The sequence below is a fragment of the Homo sapiens genome, chromosome 1 (genome assembly GCF_000001405.40).
Source record: "Homo sapiens chromosome 1, GRCh38.p14 Primary Assembly".
Lineage (NCBI taxonomy): Eukaryota > Metazoa > Chordata > Mammalia > Primates > Hominidae > Homo > Homo sapiens.
This window is the reverse complement of record NC_000001.11, coordinates 45977165-45998178: the sequence shown is the minus strand read 5'-3', so window position 1 is coordinate 45998178 and position 21014 is coordinate 45977165. Positions and strand designations below refer to the sequence as shown.

At 40.1% G+C, this 21014-nt stretch overlaps 1 protein-coding gene across 34 annotated transcripts in view; it reads right to left on the bottom strand.

Moving 5' to 3' along the window:
* Window positions 1-21014, bottom strand: part of MAST2 (microtubule associated serine/threonine kinase 2) — a 232511-nt gene that overhangs the window by 37944 nt on the left and 173553 nt on the right. For all 34 annotated transcript variants that reach the window (XM_011541059.3, XM_011541069.3, XM_011541061.3 and 31 more), the window contains one exon: window positions 380-455. In XM_011541059.3, the coding sequence (XP_011539361.1) occupies window positions 380-455 (76 nt within the window). The remainder of the gene's footprint in view (window positions 1-379; window positions 456-21014) is intronic.

The window sequence follows — 21014 nt, the reverse complement described above, 5'->3', positions numbered from 1 at the left end:
CCTCCTGGAGGAGAGCTTATTTTCTCATTCATCACTGTAGGACAGTTCTAAATTGAGAGTATAATGCTTTGGAACATACCCGTAGGACATCAGGGACTTAAAAAAAAAAGTGAATTATACAAATAAATCTACTTTTACTTAATATCTACTCTCCTGTTTAAACATTCAAACACAAATACATGGGGCACCTATAAAGCAAAACCAGAACACGATCATTACAACCTAGGAGAGGAAAGCAAAGACAGAGTTTTGATGGATGGGAGCTTCAGGTAATACACTTGAAAGAGTAGTGACACTTAAAGGAGGAATCTGACATTCAATTAACCCTCATGCAAGTGCCACATGTGCTGGTCCCAGAGGAGGTTTCCTATCAACTTACCTACGGGCAGGAACAAAAGAAAAGTGAGCAGGTGCATTTGGAGAGAAATTCCGGGGGCTGTCCAAAGGACTGTTACCTGTGGATGGGAAAAGAAACAAAACTCTGTGAGGTTTGCTTGTGAGGAGGGTGGACATGACTTTCGGGCAAGAAATATTCCCCTAGCACTGGCAATTATATGGTTATTTTCTCAGGGCCACTATCAGTTTAATGAGTCTCTTTCTGTAAAAGTTTCATAGCCCAGAGGTTTTCTCCCTTGTTCCCAAGTTTGCTGTAACAACCCATGTCTCTCAGATAACCATTCTAGATCTAGCAGCAACTTGACTATTTCCTGCCCTCCTAGGAACACACCTGAGACTTCAATCTGTCTTTGTCAAGTGAACCAACATTCAGAAGGCTTAAAGAGCTCATTCAGTCAGAGGGTATAGCCAAATGTTCACACTTTCTCAAAGGGCAACAGGACCCCTAATCCAAAAGTTTCTTGCATATATATCTCTGCGCACTGTATCCAAGGGCTAAACCAGGAACATGTGTGTTTTAAGGGGAAAGAGAAGTTCTCAGGTAGGGACTCAGGATAGTAGTAAACCTTAAGATAGTTCGTAATCAAGGCCCCCAAGTCTACAAAGCATACCGCCATTTCTTAATTAGTATTCACGTGTTCCCTGTAACTTGCTAACTTAAAGCTCAGAAGCTTTGAACAAAACTGTAAGTTTACCTTTGCATTAATCCCAATGGTTCTTAAACCTAAGCCTGCCATACTTCTCTGGGCTATCTTCCAGCTGGGGACTGGTACGTAGGAGCCCCTTGTTGGCAGTTGTTAATATGACTCTACTCAAAAGGCCATGTTGAAGTAAGCACCATACTCCATGCTGTGCTGGCTCCCCTCTAACCCCTGTCCACCTCCTCACTTCTGTGCTTACCTCCCAGGGGCCTGGTACTTCAACATGCGCTGGCTTTCTCTTGGATAGTATGTTTCCTGCACAGTGTATGGATGTTCCAAGTTGCCAAAAACCTACCCCTTTGTTTCCCACTATCTCTATCCAATAGGGCTTATATAGCACTTAACGTCTTTTTATACTGATCTAGTAGAAACCAGCCTCTCAATCAGTGCTCCTACTACCCTATGCAGCAGCACCTCTGTATCAATTATATAATGGCATTGTTTTTGGTTGAAATAATAAGAGGCATTTTCAGTTCTTCTCACCCCCAGGTGCATAAAATATACAACTTCATCCAGTGGATCTGCTCTCAACATTGCATGAACTCTGGGTTTTCCATGCTCTGTGTCAGGGATATCTGTTATGACCTCTCCCCATCTTCTGGCTAGTGGGCACCAGGATATAAGGGAAGTGATCCTGAGTAGCTGTTTCCTTAGCCAGGACTTAATAAGGATCAGGCCTCCTCAGAAGTATCAAAGCTTATTTTTTTAAAAAAAATTCTGTTCTTTTTTGATAGTGTCATCTCATGTCAAAGATTAACAAATACCCACAGTTTGATTCTTGACATGCAAAGTCAGATGCCCTTTGTTGGTTCCCAAAACTACCCAGCTAAAGCCTCAAGGAGATGCCTGGACATGAGCATCCTACAATGACCAGCCTTCCAAGGATCGGTCTGGTTACAGAGGTACAAAGAATCTTCCAGGTGCGCATAGTACAGCTAGGGTTACATAACACACACGTATGTCAGAAATAGCTAACACCGAGAGGGGAAAAAAAAGCAGCAAAAAAACTAAATAAACAGCACCACTGAGCTGTAGGACAACTTCAAGCAGGGGGAGGGGAGAGCAGGGGATACAGAAAAAAGATAGGAAGAAATAATGGCGGACCATTTTGCAAATTTGATAAAAACCATATACCCACATGTTGTGTGATGGGTCCTTTACCAGATTACTTAAAGGTACATATGTTCACTGCCTGAAACCTGAAGGCTAGGCCCATGGCAATGGTACCCAGCTGAGGAGCAGGTATCCCTGAGAACCAACCAAACATCCCAGAGAGTATCTGAGAATCTCTCAAGAAAAACAGTATCATTGTTCAAACACAGTAGGCAAAGATCCAGAAAATTAGCTTAAAAGCAGTTTAGAGGGAGCCGGGTACAGTGGCTCACGCCTGTCATGCCAGTTTGGGAGGCTGAGGAGGGCGATCACTTGAGTCCAGGAGTCTGAGACCAGCCTAAGCAACATGGCAAAACACCCCATGTCTAAAAACAAACAAACAAAAAATGCGGTTTAGAGACAGGAGGCAGCGTGGATCTCTAGAGCTGTCCTGCTGCCGTCCAGGAGTGCCTTGTATGTAAGTTGAATAAACTCGTCTACTCATCAAGTTAAATTTGTCTGAGTCATTCTTTGGTCTCATGGCTCCTTCCCAGTTTAGATGGGACGTTGCAGTCCCAAGTTTTTCTTGTAACATCACAAATCTAAGAATCTCTAAGAATCCCAAACATGAGAAAGAAGAAGAGAAGTACATCAAAGAATACCCAGTCAAATCGCTCAAAACTCAAGATACAGAGAAAAATCTTTAGAGTGGCTAGAGCTTGGTGGAGCTCAGTAAAGTGAGAAGAAGATATGTTATACAGAGGAACAAAGACAAGGATTATAGCAGATTTCTCGTTGGAAACAATGCAAGAAGACAGCAGAGCAATATATTTAAATTATGGAAGATATGGGCCAGGCGTGGTGGCTCACGCCCGTAATCCCAGCACTTTGGGAGGCTGAGGTGGGCGGATCACGAGGCCAGGAGATCGAGACCATCCTGGTTAACACAATGAAACCCTGTCTCTACTAAAAAATACAAAAAAATTAGCCGGGCGTGGTGGCGGGCGCCTGTAGTCCCAGATATTCGGAAGGCTGAGGCAGGAGAATGGCGTGAACCCAGGAGGTGGAGCTTGCAGTGAGCCGAGACAGTGCCACTGTACTCCAGCCTGGGTGACAAAGCGAGACTCTGTCTCAAAAAAAAAAAAAAAATTATGGAAGATATGGCTATTCTCCTGCCAACCTAGAATTCTAGACCCAGCTGTTGTGTAGTAAAGAATTTGACTGGCCTTAGTACCCAGTTCCTGGGAAGGAGCCTGTAAATCCTTGGAATTTCCCAAGTGATAGGAGTGCTTTTGTTATTTATGACAGGGCCTGATACTTTACGCTAATGATATAACTCAGGATGGGGACTGGCCACACCTGAAAGACCAACCATGTAATTGGAGGGTTGGGGCTTTGAGGCTCACCTAGCACCAGGGAGTGCTAGCACTCACCTAGCACTTTGGGAGGCCGAGGCAGGCAGATCGCCTGAGGTTAGGGGTTCAAGGCCAGCCTGGCCAACGTGGCAAAATCCCGTCTCTACTAAAAATACAAAAATTAACCGGCTGTGCTGGCACATGCCTGTAATCCCAGCTACTTGGGAGGCTGAGCCAGGAGAATTGCTTAGAACCTAGGAGGCGGAGGTTGCAGTGAGCCGAGATCATGCCACTGCACTCCAGCCTGGCTGGGCAGCAGAGTGAAACTCCTTCTCAAAAAAAAAAAAAAAAAAAAAAAAAGAGGGTTAGGGCTTTGAGCCACTTGCTATCAGTCTGACATAAACCTGACTTCCCAGAAATGGAGAGGGGCTAGAGATTAAGTTCAGTCATATGGCCAATGAGTCAATCAATCATGCTTATAAAATAAAACCTCACTCTGGACACAAAGCTCCTGTGAGCTTCCCTGCTTAATAATAATTTGTATGTATTGTTATACATCCATGTGCTAGGAGGGTGATGCATCCTGACTTCACAGGGAGAAGGCACTGGAAGCTTTGTGTTGGGACCCTCCCAGACCTTGTCCTACACATGTTTTCTTTGGCCGGACCTGATTTTTATGTTTTTTGCCACAATAAAATTGTAAACCTAAGTATAGGGGTTTTCTGAGCTCTGTGAATCATTCTAGTGAATTACTGAACTCAGGAGGTAGTAAGAAACCTCAAATTTGTATCCATTTTGTCAGAAGTATGGGTGACCTGGGAACCCCCAAACTTCTGCTTGGTGTATAAAGTGAGGGCAGTTTTGTAGCAGCCTGGGCCCTTGTAAAGTTTGGCCTAATTTGGGATAGTTAGTGTCAGAAGTCATTGTACCAGCAAAAAAAAATTTTTTTTTGAGATGGAGTCTCATTTTGTTGCTCAGGCAGGAGTGCAATGGCGCAACCTTGGCTCACTGCAAGCTCTGCCTCCTGGGTTCAAAAGATTCTCCTGCCTTAGCCTCCCAAGTAACTGGGATTACAGGCACGCGCCACCATGCCTGGCTAATTTTTCTATTTTTAATGGAGACGGTATTTTACCATGTTGGCCAGGCTGGTCTCGAACTCCTGACCTCAAGTAATCCTACTGCCTCAGCCTCCCAAAGTGCTGGGATTATAGGCAAAAGCCACTGCTCCCGGCCTCAGCAAAAATATTTTTAAAAGACAGAGGTAAAAAATAAATACTTTTTCAAACAAAAAAACTAAATAAAATTCTCAACAGCAAACCACACTACAAAAAAATGTTTTAAAAATGTCCTTTAGGCAGAAGCAAAGGATGCCAGGTGGAAATATGGATCTGCACAAAAGAATGAAGAGCAATGGGAAACTTAACTACATGGAAAAAGATGCATGACATTTTCTTATTATTTAAATCTCTTTAAAAAGCAGTAAATGTTTAATTAATAATAATATTATTACTATTAAATAATAGTGTGGGATTTACAACACATGAGGATCAAAAGTTTGAAAACAACTATATAAAGGCTGGAAGGGGAGAAATGGAAGATTCTTATCCTGTATGTGAAGTGGTATAATATTATTTGAAGATTGATATGAGGGATATGTTAAAGATATACACTATAAATGCTAAGGCAAACACTAAACAATAAAGGGTTATAGCCTATAAGCCAATAAAGGACATAAATGGAATAAAAATACACACTTAACCCCAAATAAAGCAGCAAAAGATCACGGAAGGAGAAAAAAACAGGTGGAATAATTAGGAAACAAATAGGGAGGTGGTAGACATAAACAAACCACATCAACAACCACATTAAATGCCCCAATTAAAAGGTAGAGCTTGTTAGATTGAATTTTAAAAAAAGAAAGACTCCATTAAAGAAACTGAGTCAATAGCTAATCATCTCCAAAAAAAGCACCTGTTTCAGATGTTTCACTGATTAATTCTACCAAACATTTATAGAAGAAATGATACCAATTCTCTACAATCTCTTCCAAGCAAAGATGATTGTAACATGATTCCTAACTCATTCCATGGGGCCAGTATTACTCTATTACCCAAACCAAATAAAGATATTGTAAGAAAAAAACACTACAGACCAATACCTCTTATGAAAACAGATGCAAAAATTCTCAATATTAGAAATATCAAATCCAACAATGTATAAAAAAGTTATATACCATCACCAAATAGAATTTACTCCAAGTATGCAAGGATGGCTCAACATTTGAAAATCAATTACCTACCACATCAACATACTAAAGAAGAAAAATCATATGGTCACATCAACTGATACAGAAAAAGCACTTGACTAAATCTAAAACCCATTTAAAACTTTTTTGATAAAAACTCAGCAAACTAGGAATACAGGAGAACTTCCTCACTTGACCAAGAACATCTACAGAAGACATACTTGTTGTTAACATAATACTTCATGGGGAGAATCCGGGTATTTTTTCTCCAAGAACAGGAACAAGGCAAGGATGGCCTCTCACTACTCCTATTCAGTATCATACTGGAAGTCTTAGCCAGTGCAATAAGGCAAGAAAAGACGACTGGGTGCAGTGGCTCATACTTGTAATCCTGGCACTTTCGGAGGCTGAGTTGGGGGGATTACTTGAGCCCAGGAGTTCAAGACCAGCCTGGGCAACATAGTGAGACCCCATTTCTAAAAAAAATACATAAATTAAAAAGCAAAACAAAACCAAAAAGGCAAGAAAAGGAAATAAAAGGTAAATACATTGGGAAGGAGGAAATAAAGGTGTTTATGTTTAGAGATGACATGATTGTCTATGTAGAATATTCTAAAGAATCAACAAACAACAATCCTGTAACTAATAAGCAATTACAACAAGGTTGCAGGATACAATGCTAATATTAAAAAGTCAATTGTGTCCCTTTATACCAGAAATGAATAATCAGAATTTGAAATTAAAAACACAATACCATTAACAGAAAAACTGAAATGCCTACATATAAATTTAACAAATACACTGAAAATCTATACACTGTAAATTACGAAACTCTGATGAAAGAAATCAAAGATCTAAATAAATGAGACTTGCATGATCATAATGGAAGACTCAATATGACTAAAATGTTAATTATAAGCAATTTGATCTACGGATTAAATGCAATCCCAATCAAAATCCAAGCAAGTTAGTTTGTGAATATTGACAAATTGATTCTAAAGTTTACATGGAAAGGCAAAATAACCTAAACAACCAATACAATACTGAAGAAGAATAAGGTTAGAGGACTGATATTACCTGACCTCAAGACTCACTATAAAGCTATAGTGATCAAGACAACATGGTGGAAGAACAGATACATAAATCAGCAGAACAAAGCAGAGACTCCACAAACAGACCCATACAAATATAGTCAACTGATATATGACAAAGGAGCACTGGCAATTCAATGAAGAAAATATATATTCTCATTGACGAATGGTGCTGGAACAACTGAATGTTCATATGCAAAAAAATGAATCTAGATACAACCTTTTACAAAAATTAACTCAAAATGGGTCATGAAAATGATCCGAATGTAAGATTTACCTAAATGTAAAAACAAAAAACGATAAAACTTGTATATGATAACATAGGACAAAATCTAGGTGACCTTGGGTTTGGCGATGAATTTTTAGGATATGAAACCAAAAGCAAAACCATGAAAAAAAACATTAATAAGCTAGACTGCATTAAAATTAAGAACTTCTGCAAAAGATACTGTTAAGAGAATGAAAAAGACAGACCATAGACTAGGAGGAAATATCTGTAAAAAACACATACTTGGCTGGGCATGGTGGCTCATGCCTGTAATCCCAGCACTTTGGGAGGCTGAAGATGGAGGACTGCTTGAGCCCAGGAGTTCAAGATCAGTCTGGACAATACAGGGAGATCTTGTCTCTACAAAAAATTTAAAAATTAGTTGTGTGTGGCAGCCTAACGCACCTGGTCTCAGCTACTTAGGAGGCTGAGGTGGGAGGATCATTTGAGCTTGGGCTGTAGTGGGCTGTGACTGCACCACTGAACTCCAGCCTGGGTGACAGAGCAAGACCTTGTCTCAAAAACAAACAAGAAAAGTCAAGTCCCAACCCCCAACCCCCAAAACAAAACAAAACCAAAAACCCACATACTTGATAAAAGACAAATGTGTAAAGAACTCTTAAATCTCAACAAGAAAACAAACAACCCAATTTTAAAAATGAGCAAAAGATCTGAACAGCCACCTCACCAAAGATATACAGATAGCAAACAAGTATATAAAAAGATTCTCAACATCATTTGGCATAGGACATTGCAAATTAAAACTACAATTGGATACTCATACATACCTATTAGAATGGCTAAAAAGGATGGGGAACAACAGGAACTCTTGTTATTGTTAGTAGGAATGCAAAATGGTACAGCCACTTTGGAAGACAGTTTGGCAGTTTCTAAAAAGCTAAACACAGTCTTCCCACACAATCCAGCAATTGCTCTAAATAATTACTTACTTGGGTTGAAAACTTGTCTACACAAAAACCTGAACATGAATGTGTATAGCAAGTTTATTCGTGATCGCCCAAAACTGGAAGCAACCAAGATGTCCTTCAATAGATGATGGATAAACATACTGTGGCACATCCATACAATGGAATATTATTTAGTGATAAAAATAAACAAGCTATCCACCTACGAAAAGACAGGAACCTTGAAGGCATATTGCTAAGTGAAAGAAACTAATTTGAAAGGCTATATGTCATAAGATTCTGACCTTGTGACATTTTGGAAAAGGTAGGTATAACTATGGAGACAGTAAAACAATCAATGGTGCCAGCGGGAAATGATGAGGGACAAATAGGTGAAGTACTGTGCACTATTTTAGGGAAATAAATCTACTCTGTATGATACTGTAGTGGCAGATACGTGACATTACGCATTTGTCAAAACATACAGAACTTTATAACCTAGAGAGTAATGTAAGGGAAAAAAAAATTTAAGCCTTGGTTTGTCACCTCTAAAGGCAAATTAAAAAAAAATAACTTATGAGATCAGAGGATCCCAGAGAAGAATGCAGACTATGACAAGAGAATCTAACTGTATTACAAATGTATGAAACAACATCACTGAAGAGGGTGAAGGGAAAAGTGCTGACGTAAGAAACTTTGGAAATGAATGAAATCAGTTAGACTAAAGATCAAAGGAACTACAGGTAAGTACTGAACTCAACTTGATAAAGTTGTTTCTCAAGGAGTATGGGTTAATAATTTTGATACTGCTATACACGTACACTGGAACTGAGTAGTTTATGTGTATGGATGGTGGATGATGGGACCCAGGTTTCTCATTGTTGGAGTGGAAATTTACAGATCAGCAAAGGGAAGAAGAAGCTAGAATGATCCATGTGATATTGAATTGGAGCCAGAGACATCAAGAAGAATTCATGTTTAATATAAATACAGACAATTACATATAAAATATTTATAGATATGTGTATATTCACAGGTTAGTATACATACTAATACTATATGTCTTTGGTCAATCAGCTAAGAGGGACTAGAAAAAGGACACCCCAGTAGAAACAAGCATTCCTAGAACCCAGATCTTGATTTGTAATACTGTTCTCCAATTTAAAAATCCAGACCTCTTGGAGAAACGGCTGATTCTAGGACTGGGGTCAGAAATATACAACATGAGCCTGGAATATCTTATAATCGCAGATAGTAAGGAAGGGATAAAACAACAACAAACCAAAACCAAAACCAACCAAACAAAAACCACCAAATTGATCTAAGTCAAGGGGGGAAAGGAGCCAACTGAAAGGACCTTGATGGCCAAAACGGAACAACTTAAGCAAAAAAACTAAAGTATTAATGGATTACAGTCTGATCTAGATAATAAATACCTATTAGTTCATACTGATATAAATGATTGAATAAATAAATGGGAAGATCAGTGAGGATGTAGAACACTTGAACAACACTACCAACAAACTTGACATAATTGACACTTACAGACCACTACCAAACAGTACTAATATACATTCTTTTCAGGTGAACACTGAACATTTGCTAAGAAAGATCACACTCTGAGTCATAAAACAAAACTCAATAAATTTTAAAAGGATTCAAGTCATATAAAATATGTTTTCTGACTACAATGAAATAGAATTAGAAATCAGTAACAGAAACATCTCTGGAAAATCCCCAAATATTCATAAACTAAACAATATACTTCTGAATAATTTGTGGGTCAAAGAAGAAATCAAAAGGGAAATTAGAGGCTGGGTGTGCTGGCTCATGCCTGTAATCCTAGCACTTTGGGACGCCAAGGTGTGGGAATCCCTTGAGGCTAGGAATTCAAGACCATCCTGGGCAACATAGCCAGACCACGTCTCTACAAAAAATAAAATAAATTAGCTGGGTGTGGTGGCAGGCAACTGTGGTCCCAGCTACTTAGGAGGATGAGGCAGGAGGATCGCTTAAGCCCAGGAAGTCGAGGCTGCAGTAAGCTATGATCAGGCTACTGCACTACAGCCTGGGCAACAGAGCAAGACTATGTCTTTTTAATAAAAATGAAAACACATGTCATACCACTAAAGCAGTTCTTAGGGGGAAAATTATATCACTACATTATATTAGAAAGGAAATTATATCACTACACTATATTAGAAAGGAAAGACTAACTCCCAGCACTTTGAGAGACCAAGGTGGGAGGACCACCTGAACCCAAAAGTTCAAGATCAGTTGGGGCAACATAGTGAGACTTGGTCTCTAACAAAAAACACCAAACCAAAAAAAAAAAAAAAAAAAAAAAATCAAAAAAAAAAAAACAAGAAATGCTCTCACTTTCTACCTTAAGAAATTTAAAAAAGAGGAGCAAATGAAACCCAGAAGAAAGGTAATCATAAAGACCAAAGTAGAAATCAATTAATAAAAAAACCACTGGAAAACAAGAGAGAAAATGTATAAAACCATACACAACGCCAGGCATAGTGGCTAACGTTTGTAATTCCAGCACTTTGGGAAGCCAAGGCAAGAGGATTGCTCGAATCCAGAGGTTCAAGACCAGCCTGGGCAACACGATGAGACCCCATCTCTACAAAGAATTTAAAAATTAGCTGGGTATGGCGGTGTGCCTGTGGTCCTGGCTACTTGAGAGGCTGAAGTGGGAAGACTGCTTGAGCCCAGGAGGTTGAAGCTTCAGTGAGTCATATTTGTGCCACCCTACTCCAGCCTGGGTGACAGACCCTGTCTCAAAAAACAAACCAAAAAACCCAACAAAGAACATACACAGGTTTTTGAGATCAATAAAATTAAAATGATAGACTAATCAGGAAAAAAAAAGACAAAATAGAAATTACCAACATCAAGAATGAGAAAGGTCACATTTCTATGGATTCTACAGTTATCAGAACAACTTTGTCAATTATTGTAAACAACTTTATGTTAATTAATTTGACAACTTAGAGGAGACTGAAAATTCTTTGAAAGATATACACTACCAAAGCTCACTCAGTAACAGATAACCTAACTAATCCTATATCTATTAACAAAATTAAGTTTATAATTTAAAACCTTCCCACAAATTCTAGGTTCAGAGGCTTCACTGGACAATTCTGCCAAACATATAAGACAGAAGTAGTAACAATTCTACACACTTCCAGAAAATTGAAGAGGAGGGAATACTTCCCAATTCATAACTATGAGGTCAGCATTACCCTGACACCAAAACCAGACAAAGATATTATAAGATAACTACAGACTAATATTCCTTATGAATATAGATGCATACATATTAAAATTTCAGCAAATCAAATACAACAACATATAAAAAGACTAATACAAAAGAATATTCTTTTTTTTTTTTTTTTTTTTTGAGACGGAGTCTCTCTGTGTCGCCCAGGCTGGAGTGCAATGGCGCAATCTCGGCTCACTGCAAGCTCCGCCTCCCAGGTTCACACCATTCTCCTGCCTCAGCCTCTGAGTAGCTGGGACTACAGGCACCCGCCACCACACCTGGATAATTTTTTGTATTTTTAGTAGAGACGGGGTTTCACTGTGTTAGCTAGGATGGTCTTGATCAGCTCCTAACCTCGTGATCCGCCCGCCTCGGCCTCCCAAAGTGCTGGGATTACAGGCATGAGCCACCGTGCCCGGCATAAACGAATATTCTCTAAATAATGGGAGGTGGGAGCAAATACATCATGACCAAGTAACGTTTATCTCAGGAATTCTAGTTGGCTTAAAATCTGAAAATCAATCAATATAAGTCACTACATTAGTAGGCTAATCAAGAAAAAAACATATAATCATCTCATTAGACATAGAAAATGCATTTGACAAAAGTTCAATAATAATTTTTGATAAAAACTTTTAGCAAACTAGGAATAGGACACATTCTTCAGTTGATAAAGGGTATCTATGACAAACTTAGAGCTAACACCACAGTTAATAGTAAAGACAAAATGCTCTAAGATCAGGAACAAGGCAAGAATATCTACGATTACCATTTCTATTCAAAATTATACTGGGAGTTCCAGCCCAGTGGAATAGGCAAGTTGTCTTTCTTCATGGACAACAGGAGTATCTCCAGAAAATACAACAGAATCTACAATAAAGCTACTGGAATAAGAGAGTTAGCAAGGCTGCAGGATAAAAGATCAATATACAAAATCAACTACATTTATACATACTGTAAATAGAAATGAAAAATAACAATACCACTTATAATTGCATAAAAATATGGAACACCTAGTGATAAATTTGACAAAAGAGGCATAAGAACTTCAGAAAACATGTTGAGAGAAATTAAAGATGATCTAAATAGGTGGAGAAACAAAGCATGTTCATGGGTTAAAAGATTTGATATTGTTAAGAAGTCAATTCACTCCTAACTGATCTACAGATTCAGCACAATCCCAATAAAAATACCAGCTGCCTGTCTGATAATCTGATTTTTAAATTCATATGGAAATACAAAGGACAAGACGCCAGACAAAAAACACAGTACATACTATATAACTCCATTTAGATAAAATTCTACAAAATCCAAAGTAATCTATGAGTGACAAAAAGCACATCAGTGGTTGCCTGCAAGTAATTACAAAAGGACCTAGGGAAACTTTAGGAGATGACAGATGTATTCACAATTTTGATCGTGATGATGGCTGCACAGATGTGTATACATAGGTCGAAAGCTGGCTGGGTGCGGTGGCTCACGCCTGTAATCCCAGCACTTTGGGAAGCCAAGGCGGATGGATCACCTGAGGTCAGGAGTTCAAGACTAGCCTGCCCAACATGGTGAAACCTGGTCTCTACTAAAAAAAAAAAACACACACACACACAAAAATTAGCAGGATGTAGTGGCAGGAGCCTGTAATCCCAGCTTCTCAGGAGGTTGAGGTTGAGGTTTCATTCAAATGAATGAAAATCATTTGAACCCGGGAGGTGGAGGTTGCAATGAGCTGAGATCACGCCACTGCACTTCAGCCTGGGCAACAAGAGTGAAACTCCGTCTCAAAAAAAGAGAAATTTATCTAATTTTATACTTTGAATACTGTATATCAATTTTATCACAGTAACATTTGTTTAAAAATAAATATAAATAAGTAAAACAAATATATTAAATACCTTACATATTCATGGTACAAAATTTTTTACCTTTTCATTTAGAATGCAATGTGATTGAAGATAGCTCATATTTATGTACTCATTTACTCATTTTTATGGATTTTTTTTCTGAGACAGGGTCTTGCTCTGCCACCCAGGCTGGAGTACAGTGGCTCAATCACAGCTCATTGCAGTCTTGAACTCCTGGGCTCAAGCAATCCTCCCGCGTTGGCCTCCCAAAGTGTTGGGATTATAGGTGGGAGCCACTGTGCCTGATCAGATGGCTCTTATTTTTAAAAATCTTAGGTCTAAACCCTTCTGTGGTTTGGTTTTTTAATTTAGATTTTGACTTGCTTTTATTATAGATAAAAAATAGGCCAGGGGTGGTGGTTCTTGCCTGTAATCTCAGTACTTTGGGAGGATGAGGCAGGAGGATCACTTGAGGCCAAGAGTTCAAGACCAGCCTGGGCAACAACACAGTGGGACTCTGTCTCTACAAAAATTTAAAAAATTATTAGCTGGGTGTGGTGGTGTGCATCTGTGGTCGTACTTAGTTGGGAGGCTGAGGTGGAAGATCACTTGAGCCCAGGAGGTCAACGCTGCAGTGAGCCACGATTGTGTCACTGCACTGTAGCCTAGTTGAAAGAATGAGACTCTGTCTCAAAAAAAAAAAAAATTAAAAATTAAATAAAATAAAATAAACCTCACAAAGACATGTAGCTCCCAATGGAAGAAGTGCATTGTTGGCTGTATTTATTAAATCATGATACTTGTTTTTCAATTCCCTCCAAGGGATGATAAATTTTTATCTTCTGTAATGTCAGCAATTTTTCTTGGAACCTAATGAAGAGGTATTATAGTTTTATATTTTTAAACAATAGATCAAAAATTGAACCTTTCTTTTGGAAGATTAGAAACATTCTATTTCCAATGTTTTCAAATGATAGACTTACCAGCTTTTGGAGGAGGCATAACATTTTTCAACCAAAATCACATATAGATGGTAACATTTCTAAACGTCCATCTTCAAATTGCTTTTTTCATGGCACAAATTTCTTTTAAAGTGTAGCTACCTTTGCACTCAATGATAAAATATCACCTTCGCCCTAAAAAGAGTGTTTGTGCCCCTTATCCCAAATCTCCTAGGGAGTATACTACTAAAAATCACTTGTTAGCACAGAAAAAGTTGGCATATTTGGAACATATTTTGTAAAAGAAAATTGGGCCTGTAATCCTAACACTGTGGGAGGACTTCTGGAGTTCAGGAGTTTAAGACCAGCCTAAGCAAAATAGTGAGACTCCATCTCTACAAAAACTAAAAAAAATTAGCTGAGGGTGGTGGTGCACACCTGTAGTCCCAGCTATTTGGGAGGCTGAGGTGGGAGGACTGCTTGAGCCCTGGAAGGTAGAGGCTGCAGTGAGCTGCGATCATGTCACTGCACTCCAGCCTGGGTAACAGAGTAAGATCTTGTCTCAGACAAAAAAAAAAAAAAAAGTGTCTTACTCTAAAATTTAGAATGGACAGAATAGAGAGGGAAAAGGAGTTAGGGGGTATCTTCGATAAGCCAAATGAAAAGTGATGAGGGCTTCCATAAGGCCATGATAATGAAATCAGAATGTGCTTAGTTTACAACACCTTCTAAGTCAAAGACTTTTTCTGAGTCTTATATTGAATTCTTGGTGACACCTACCAGAATGAAAGGCATCATATGATAAGTCTTTGCTCTTATATAAATAAGGTAAATACTGTACTTATTAAGTAATCAATTTTTAAGGTTCATTTATTTATTAGGATTTTTAGAGCTGATTCACAATTCAACATTCTACATTACCAAATATGGCCAACGTTGGAGAAAAGAAATGGTTTCCAAGTTATGGAGTTGTTGCCAGGGTAATAGCAAAAAACAGACCACTATATATGTGATGGAAATCTTTGGCAAAAGGCATCTGTAATGCAAGGGGAAGTAATGATGAATTCCCACCAACTGCAAGCAACAATATAATAAACAAGCATTCTTTCCAACTGGCCAGGCTCTGCAGACTTTTCAGAAGATGCTATTCTGACACTACCTCAAGTTGGGTATACTGCAATTAAACTCTGATGCCATCCATATAGAGTTAGCATAGACCCCACAGTTTAAGAGCAAAGTCCTCAACAAGACTGCCGCACTTCCAACACCAGTCATAAGTCTTTGTGGGGATGGCAGGGGGAGGGGCCAAGACCACCAGCATATCTGGCTGACTAGCTGCAAGTTCAGGGAGTACTCACAGCCCTCCCACATTCAATAATTTACTAGAACAACTAATAGAATTCAGAGAAGCACTATACTTATTATTACAGTTTTATTATAAAGGATACACAAAGGCAGGGTGAGGTGTGGGAGGGGAAGTAGAGATCCTGTGCCCTCTCCTTGTGGAATCCGGGAGTGTCACCCTCCTGTGTTCACCAACCAGGAAGCTCTACTGAGCTTAAGGTTGTCCAGAGTTTTAATTTTCATTACATAGTCATGATTGATTAAATGATTGGCTAAATGACTGAACTCAATCTCCCGGCCTCTATCTCAACCTTCTAATAATGTGGTTTGTCTTTCTTGTGATCAGTCCCCAACCTGAAACTATCCAGGGGCCCACTACGAGTCACCTCACTGGTATAACAAGACAATCCTATGTTTCAGGAAATTCCAAGGTTTTCAGAGGCTCTGTGCCTACATCTGGACCAAAGATCACAGAAATTCTTTATTCTACCACAGATGCTAAGGCCTAAAAATGTGTGCTACTTTTATTGGGTTTTCTCTATTTCTCCAATATACATTTACCTTAAAAGGCCAAAATTACAGCCGGGCGCGGTGGCTCACGCCTCTAATCCCAGCACTTTGGGAGGCCGAGGCAGGCAGATTGCCTGAGGTCAGGAGTTTGGGACCAGTCTGGCAAACATGGTGAAACTCCGTCTCTACTAAAAATACAAAAAAATTAGCTGGGCGTGGTGGTGTGCACCTGTAATCCCAGCTAGTCGGGAGGCTGAGGCTGAGGCAGGGGAATTGCTTGAACCAGGGAGGTAGAGGTTGCGGTGAGCTGAGATCATACCACTGCACTCCAGCCTGGGCAACAGAGCAAGACTCTTTCAAAAAAAAAAAAAAGCCAAAATTACCACCATTTTAAAGTTTGTTGACAGAATAAAATCAATAATTTTGAAACTGCCTTTGCCAAAATTATGACAGTGAGAAAAATCTGACTAGGAATATTATGACAATGAAAGAAATCTGACCTAACCAACTCCATCTTGCTTCTAACCTCCAAGCTGCCCTTGTACATTTCTGAGCTTAGGCCAAAACTAACTTTGGTAGGAATTTAGTTTACTTTGAAACAAAGAAGGTAACAGCTCCTGCTGGGAAAATACCCTCTGAAGGATTGGGGACCAGACCACTTCGGTAAAACTGACAAATTGGCCACAAGGTTAAAAATTATGGCTCAGGAGTTATTCAGCCAGAGGCCACAAGATTCCTAACCTCACAGATTCTCCTATAGATAACATCATCCCTGACTCAACTACTCAACATTCCCCCATTCCCTAGCCCCCTGCCCACCAAACTATCCTTAAAAAACCCTAGCCTCAGCCAGGTACAGTGGCTCACACCTGTAATCCCAGCACTTTGAGAGGCCAAGGCAGGTGGATCACCTGAGGTCAGGAGTTTGAGACCAGACGGGCCAACATGGTGAAATCCCATCTCTACTAAAACTACAAATATTAGCCAGGTGTGGTGATGCACACCTGTAATTCCAGCTACTCAGGAGGCTGAGGTGGGAGAATCATTTGAACATGGGAGGCAGAGGTTGTAGTGAGCCGAGATCGCGTCACTGCACTCCAGCCTGGGCACTGGAGTGCAATTTTTGAGACTCCATCTCAAAACAAAACAAAACAAAACAAAACCATAGCCTCAGAAATGTGGGGGAGGCTGATTTCAGTAATAAAACTCCAGTCTCCTGTTTGGCCAGCTCTGCGTATATTAAACCCTTTCTCTATTGAAATTCCCCTGTTTTGATAAATTGGCTCTATCTGGACAGTGGGCAAGGAGGACCCATTGGATGGTTACAATTTGAACTGGTCTTATTTTGGGGGAAGGAAGATTAAGATGTTATAACAACATTCTGGGCCAGCATGGTAGCTCACACTTGTAATTCTAGCACTTTGGGAGGCCAAGGCAGGAGGATCACTTCAGCTCAGGAGTTTGAGGCCAGCCTGGGGAACACAGTGAGACTTTGTCTCTACAAAAAAATTAAAAAATTAGTTGGGCATAGTGGTGCGCACATGTAGTCACAGATAATCGGGAGGCTGAGGTGGGAGGACTGTTTGAGCCCAGCAGGTTGAGGCTGCAATGAGCCGTGATCATGCCACTACACTACAGCCTATGTGACAAAGCAGGACCTTGTCTCCAAAGACAAAAGCAAAAACAACAAAACATTCTGAAGAAAATATTTAAACTGATTCTTTAAAAATTCACATAAAAAATAATTTCAACTTTTATTTTAGATTCAGCGGGTACACTTTCAGGTTTATTACCTGGGTATATTGCGTGATGCTGAGGTTTGGGGTACGATTGATCTCATCAATCATGTAGTGAGCACAGAACGCAATAGCTACTTTTTCAACTCTTGCCCCCTCTAAGTAGTCTCCAATCTTTTGTTGCCTTTTTTTTTTTTTTTTTTTTTTGGAAACACAGTCTCACTCTGTTGCCCAGGCTGGAGTGCAGTGGGGCGATTTCAACCTCCATCTCCTGGGTTCAAGCGACTCTCCTGCCTCAGCCTCCTGAGTAGCTGGGATTACAGGCGTGTGCCATGACACCAGGCTAATTTTTGTATTTTTAGTAGAGATGAGTTTTCTCCAGGTTGGCGAGGCTGGTCTTGAACTCCTGACCTCAAGTGATCCACCTGCCTCGGCCTCCCAAAGTGCTGGATTACAGGCGTGAGCCATTGCACCTGGCCTGTTGCCATCTTTATGGCCATGAGTAACCCGCTGTTTAGCTCCCACATATAAGGGAGAACATGCAGTATTTTATTTTCTGTTCCTGCCTTAATTAACTTAGGACAATAGCCTCCAGCTGCATCAGTGATTTCATTCTTTTTTATAGCTACTTTTTTTTGTTTGTTTTGGTTTCAGGTAGGGTCTTATTCTGTCACCCAGGAGTGCAGTGGTGCAGGCATAGCTCATTGCAGCCTCAAAACTCCTGGGCTTAAATGATCCTCCCACCTCAGCCTCCTGAGGAGCAGGAGCTACAGGTGTAAGCCATCATAAAGTGGAAAAGCCAGATAATTTTTTAATTTTTGGAAGAGATGGGGGTCTCACTATGTTGTCCAGGCTGGTCTCAAGCAATTCCCCTACCTTGGCTTCCCCAGGTGTTGACATTACAGGTGTGAGTCACTGTGCCCAGCTAAGCTGATTGTTATTAATGACTTACATTCACGGTTCTAGCTCCAGAAAAAATGACATTATTGAGAAGAATCCTTCCTTAAGGATGGCAATAACTGGCTCAATGGGACCAAAAAAAAAAAAAAAAAACAAAAAATCTGACAGAAAATCTAGCAGCCTAGCAAGCAGGCTTTTTCCACTTTAAGAATCGATTTTAGCAGCTGGAGGAGACAGTTCAAAGGTAAGTGATGATTCATCCCAGAGAAACAAGTTATAAACAAAACTGGGAGCAGTCAGTTGACCTTGAATCAGCTGCTTCATTTATACAGTTTAACTAGTTATAAAGGAATATAATTATATAGCAAGCACCTGTGTAAACACCATCTAGGTTTAACAATGCCATCTTCCAAAATCCCTCCACATAATCCCTCCTGATCAAAACCCCTCCCTTTACCCCATCTAAAGTCAATATTATGATAATCATTTCCTTATAGCTTTACCAACTAAATATGCAACTCTAAACACTCTAGTTTTTCTCTCATACAATTTTAAAAGTGAGATATAACTTTCATGTAACATTTACCCTTAAGTGTGCAGTTTAGAGGTTTTTAGTATATTCACAAAGCTATGCAATCATAACCATTATATAATTCCAGAACATTTTTATCGCCCAAAAATGAATCTATACCTGTTAGCAGTCACTCTTCATTTCCCTCTACTCGAGTGTTAGCAGTCACTCTTCATTTCCATCTACACGAGCCCCTGGCTACTACTAATCTACTTTCTGCCTCTATGAAATTGTGTATCCTGGACATTTCATAGAAATGAGATTATATAATATGTGTCCGTTTGTGTTCTAGTTTGCTTGTTTCTGTACTTTACGTAAGAAAACACCAAGCTGTTTTGCAAAATAGTTGTATTAATTTATACACTCACCAGCAGCACTTATGGATTCCTACTGTTTCACATACTCATCTATACTTGGTTTTGTCACTCTTTAAGCCATTATTGGTCATATAATATCTTTTTGTGATTTTATTTTGCATTTTCTTTCTTTCTTTTTTGAGACAGAGTCTCGCTCTGTTGCCCAGGCTGGAGTGCAGTGCCGTGATCTTTGCTCACTGCAACCTCTGCCTCCCAGGTTGAAGTAATTCTTTTGCCTCGGCCTCCTGAGTAGCTGGGATTACAGGTGTGCGCCACCATGCCCAGCTAATTTTTTTGTATTTTTAGTACGGACAAGGTTTTGCCCTGTTGGCCAGGCTGGTCTTGAACTTCTGGCCTCAAGTGATCTGCCCACCTCGGTCTCCCAAAAGGTTGGCATTACAGGCGTGAGCCACCGCACCCAGCTTCTTTTGCATTTTCATAATTACTAATGAGAGTAAATTATCTTTTCATGCATTTATTGACCACTTGGATCTCTTTTGTGTGAACTGTCCAAGTCCCTTGGCCATTTTTCAATCATACTATCTTTTTATTTTATTGATGTACAGGTTTTTTTGTGTGGTTTTTGTTTTTGTTTTTTAAATATAAGAGATAGGGTTTCACTATGTTGCCCAGGCTGGTCTCGAACTCCTCGGCTCAAGTGATCCGCCCACCTAAGGCTCCCGCAGTGCTAGGATTATAGGAGCCACCTGTGCTGGCCCCAGGAGTTCTTTATATATTCTGAACCCAAGTCCTTTGTTACTTTTATGTGTCACATTATCTTCTCGCACCTTGTGGCTTCTCGTTTCACTCTTTTCATAGTATCTTTTGATAACCAGAACTTTTTTTTTTTTTTTTGAGACAAGAGTCTTGCTCTGTCACTCAGGCTAGAGTGTAGTGGCGCGATCTTGACTCACTGCAACCTCCGCCTCCTGGGTTCAAGCGATTCTCCTGCCTCAGCCTCCCGAGTAGCTGGGATTACAGACACATGCCACCATGCTTGGCTAATTTTTTTGTACTTTTAGTAGAGACGGGGTTTCACCGTCTTAGCCAGGATGGTCTCGATCTCTTGACCTTGTGATCCGCCCGCCTCGGCCTCCCAAAGTGCTGGGATTACAGGCGTGAGCCACTGCACCCGGCCTTTTTGTTTGTTTGTTTGTTTGTTTGTTTGAGATAGAGTTTCCCTCTTGTCGCCCAAGCTGGAATGCAATGGCGCCACCTCGGCTCATTGCAACCTCCACCTCCCGGGTTCAACCCATTCTCCTGCCTCAGCCTCCTGAGTAGCTGGGATTATAGGCGCCCGCCAGCACGCCTGGCTAATTTTTGTATTTTTAGTAGAGACCGGGTTTCACCATGTCAGCCAGGCTGGTCTCGAACTCCTGACCTCAGGTGATCCACCCGCCTTGGCCTCCCAAAGTGCTGGGAATACAGGCATGAGCCACGTGCCCGGTGAAATTCTTCATTTTAAATGTAGTCAAATTTAGGAATCTTATC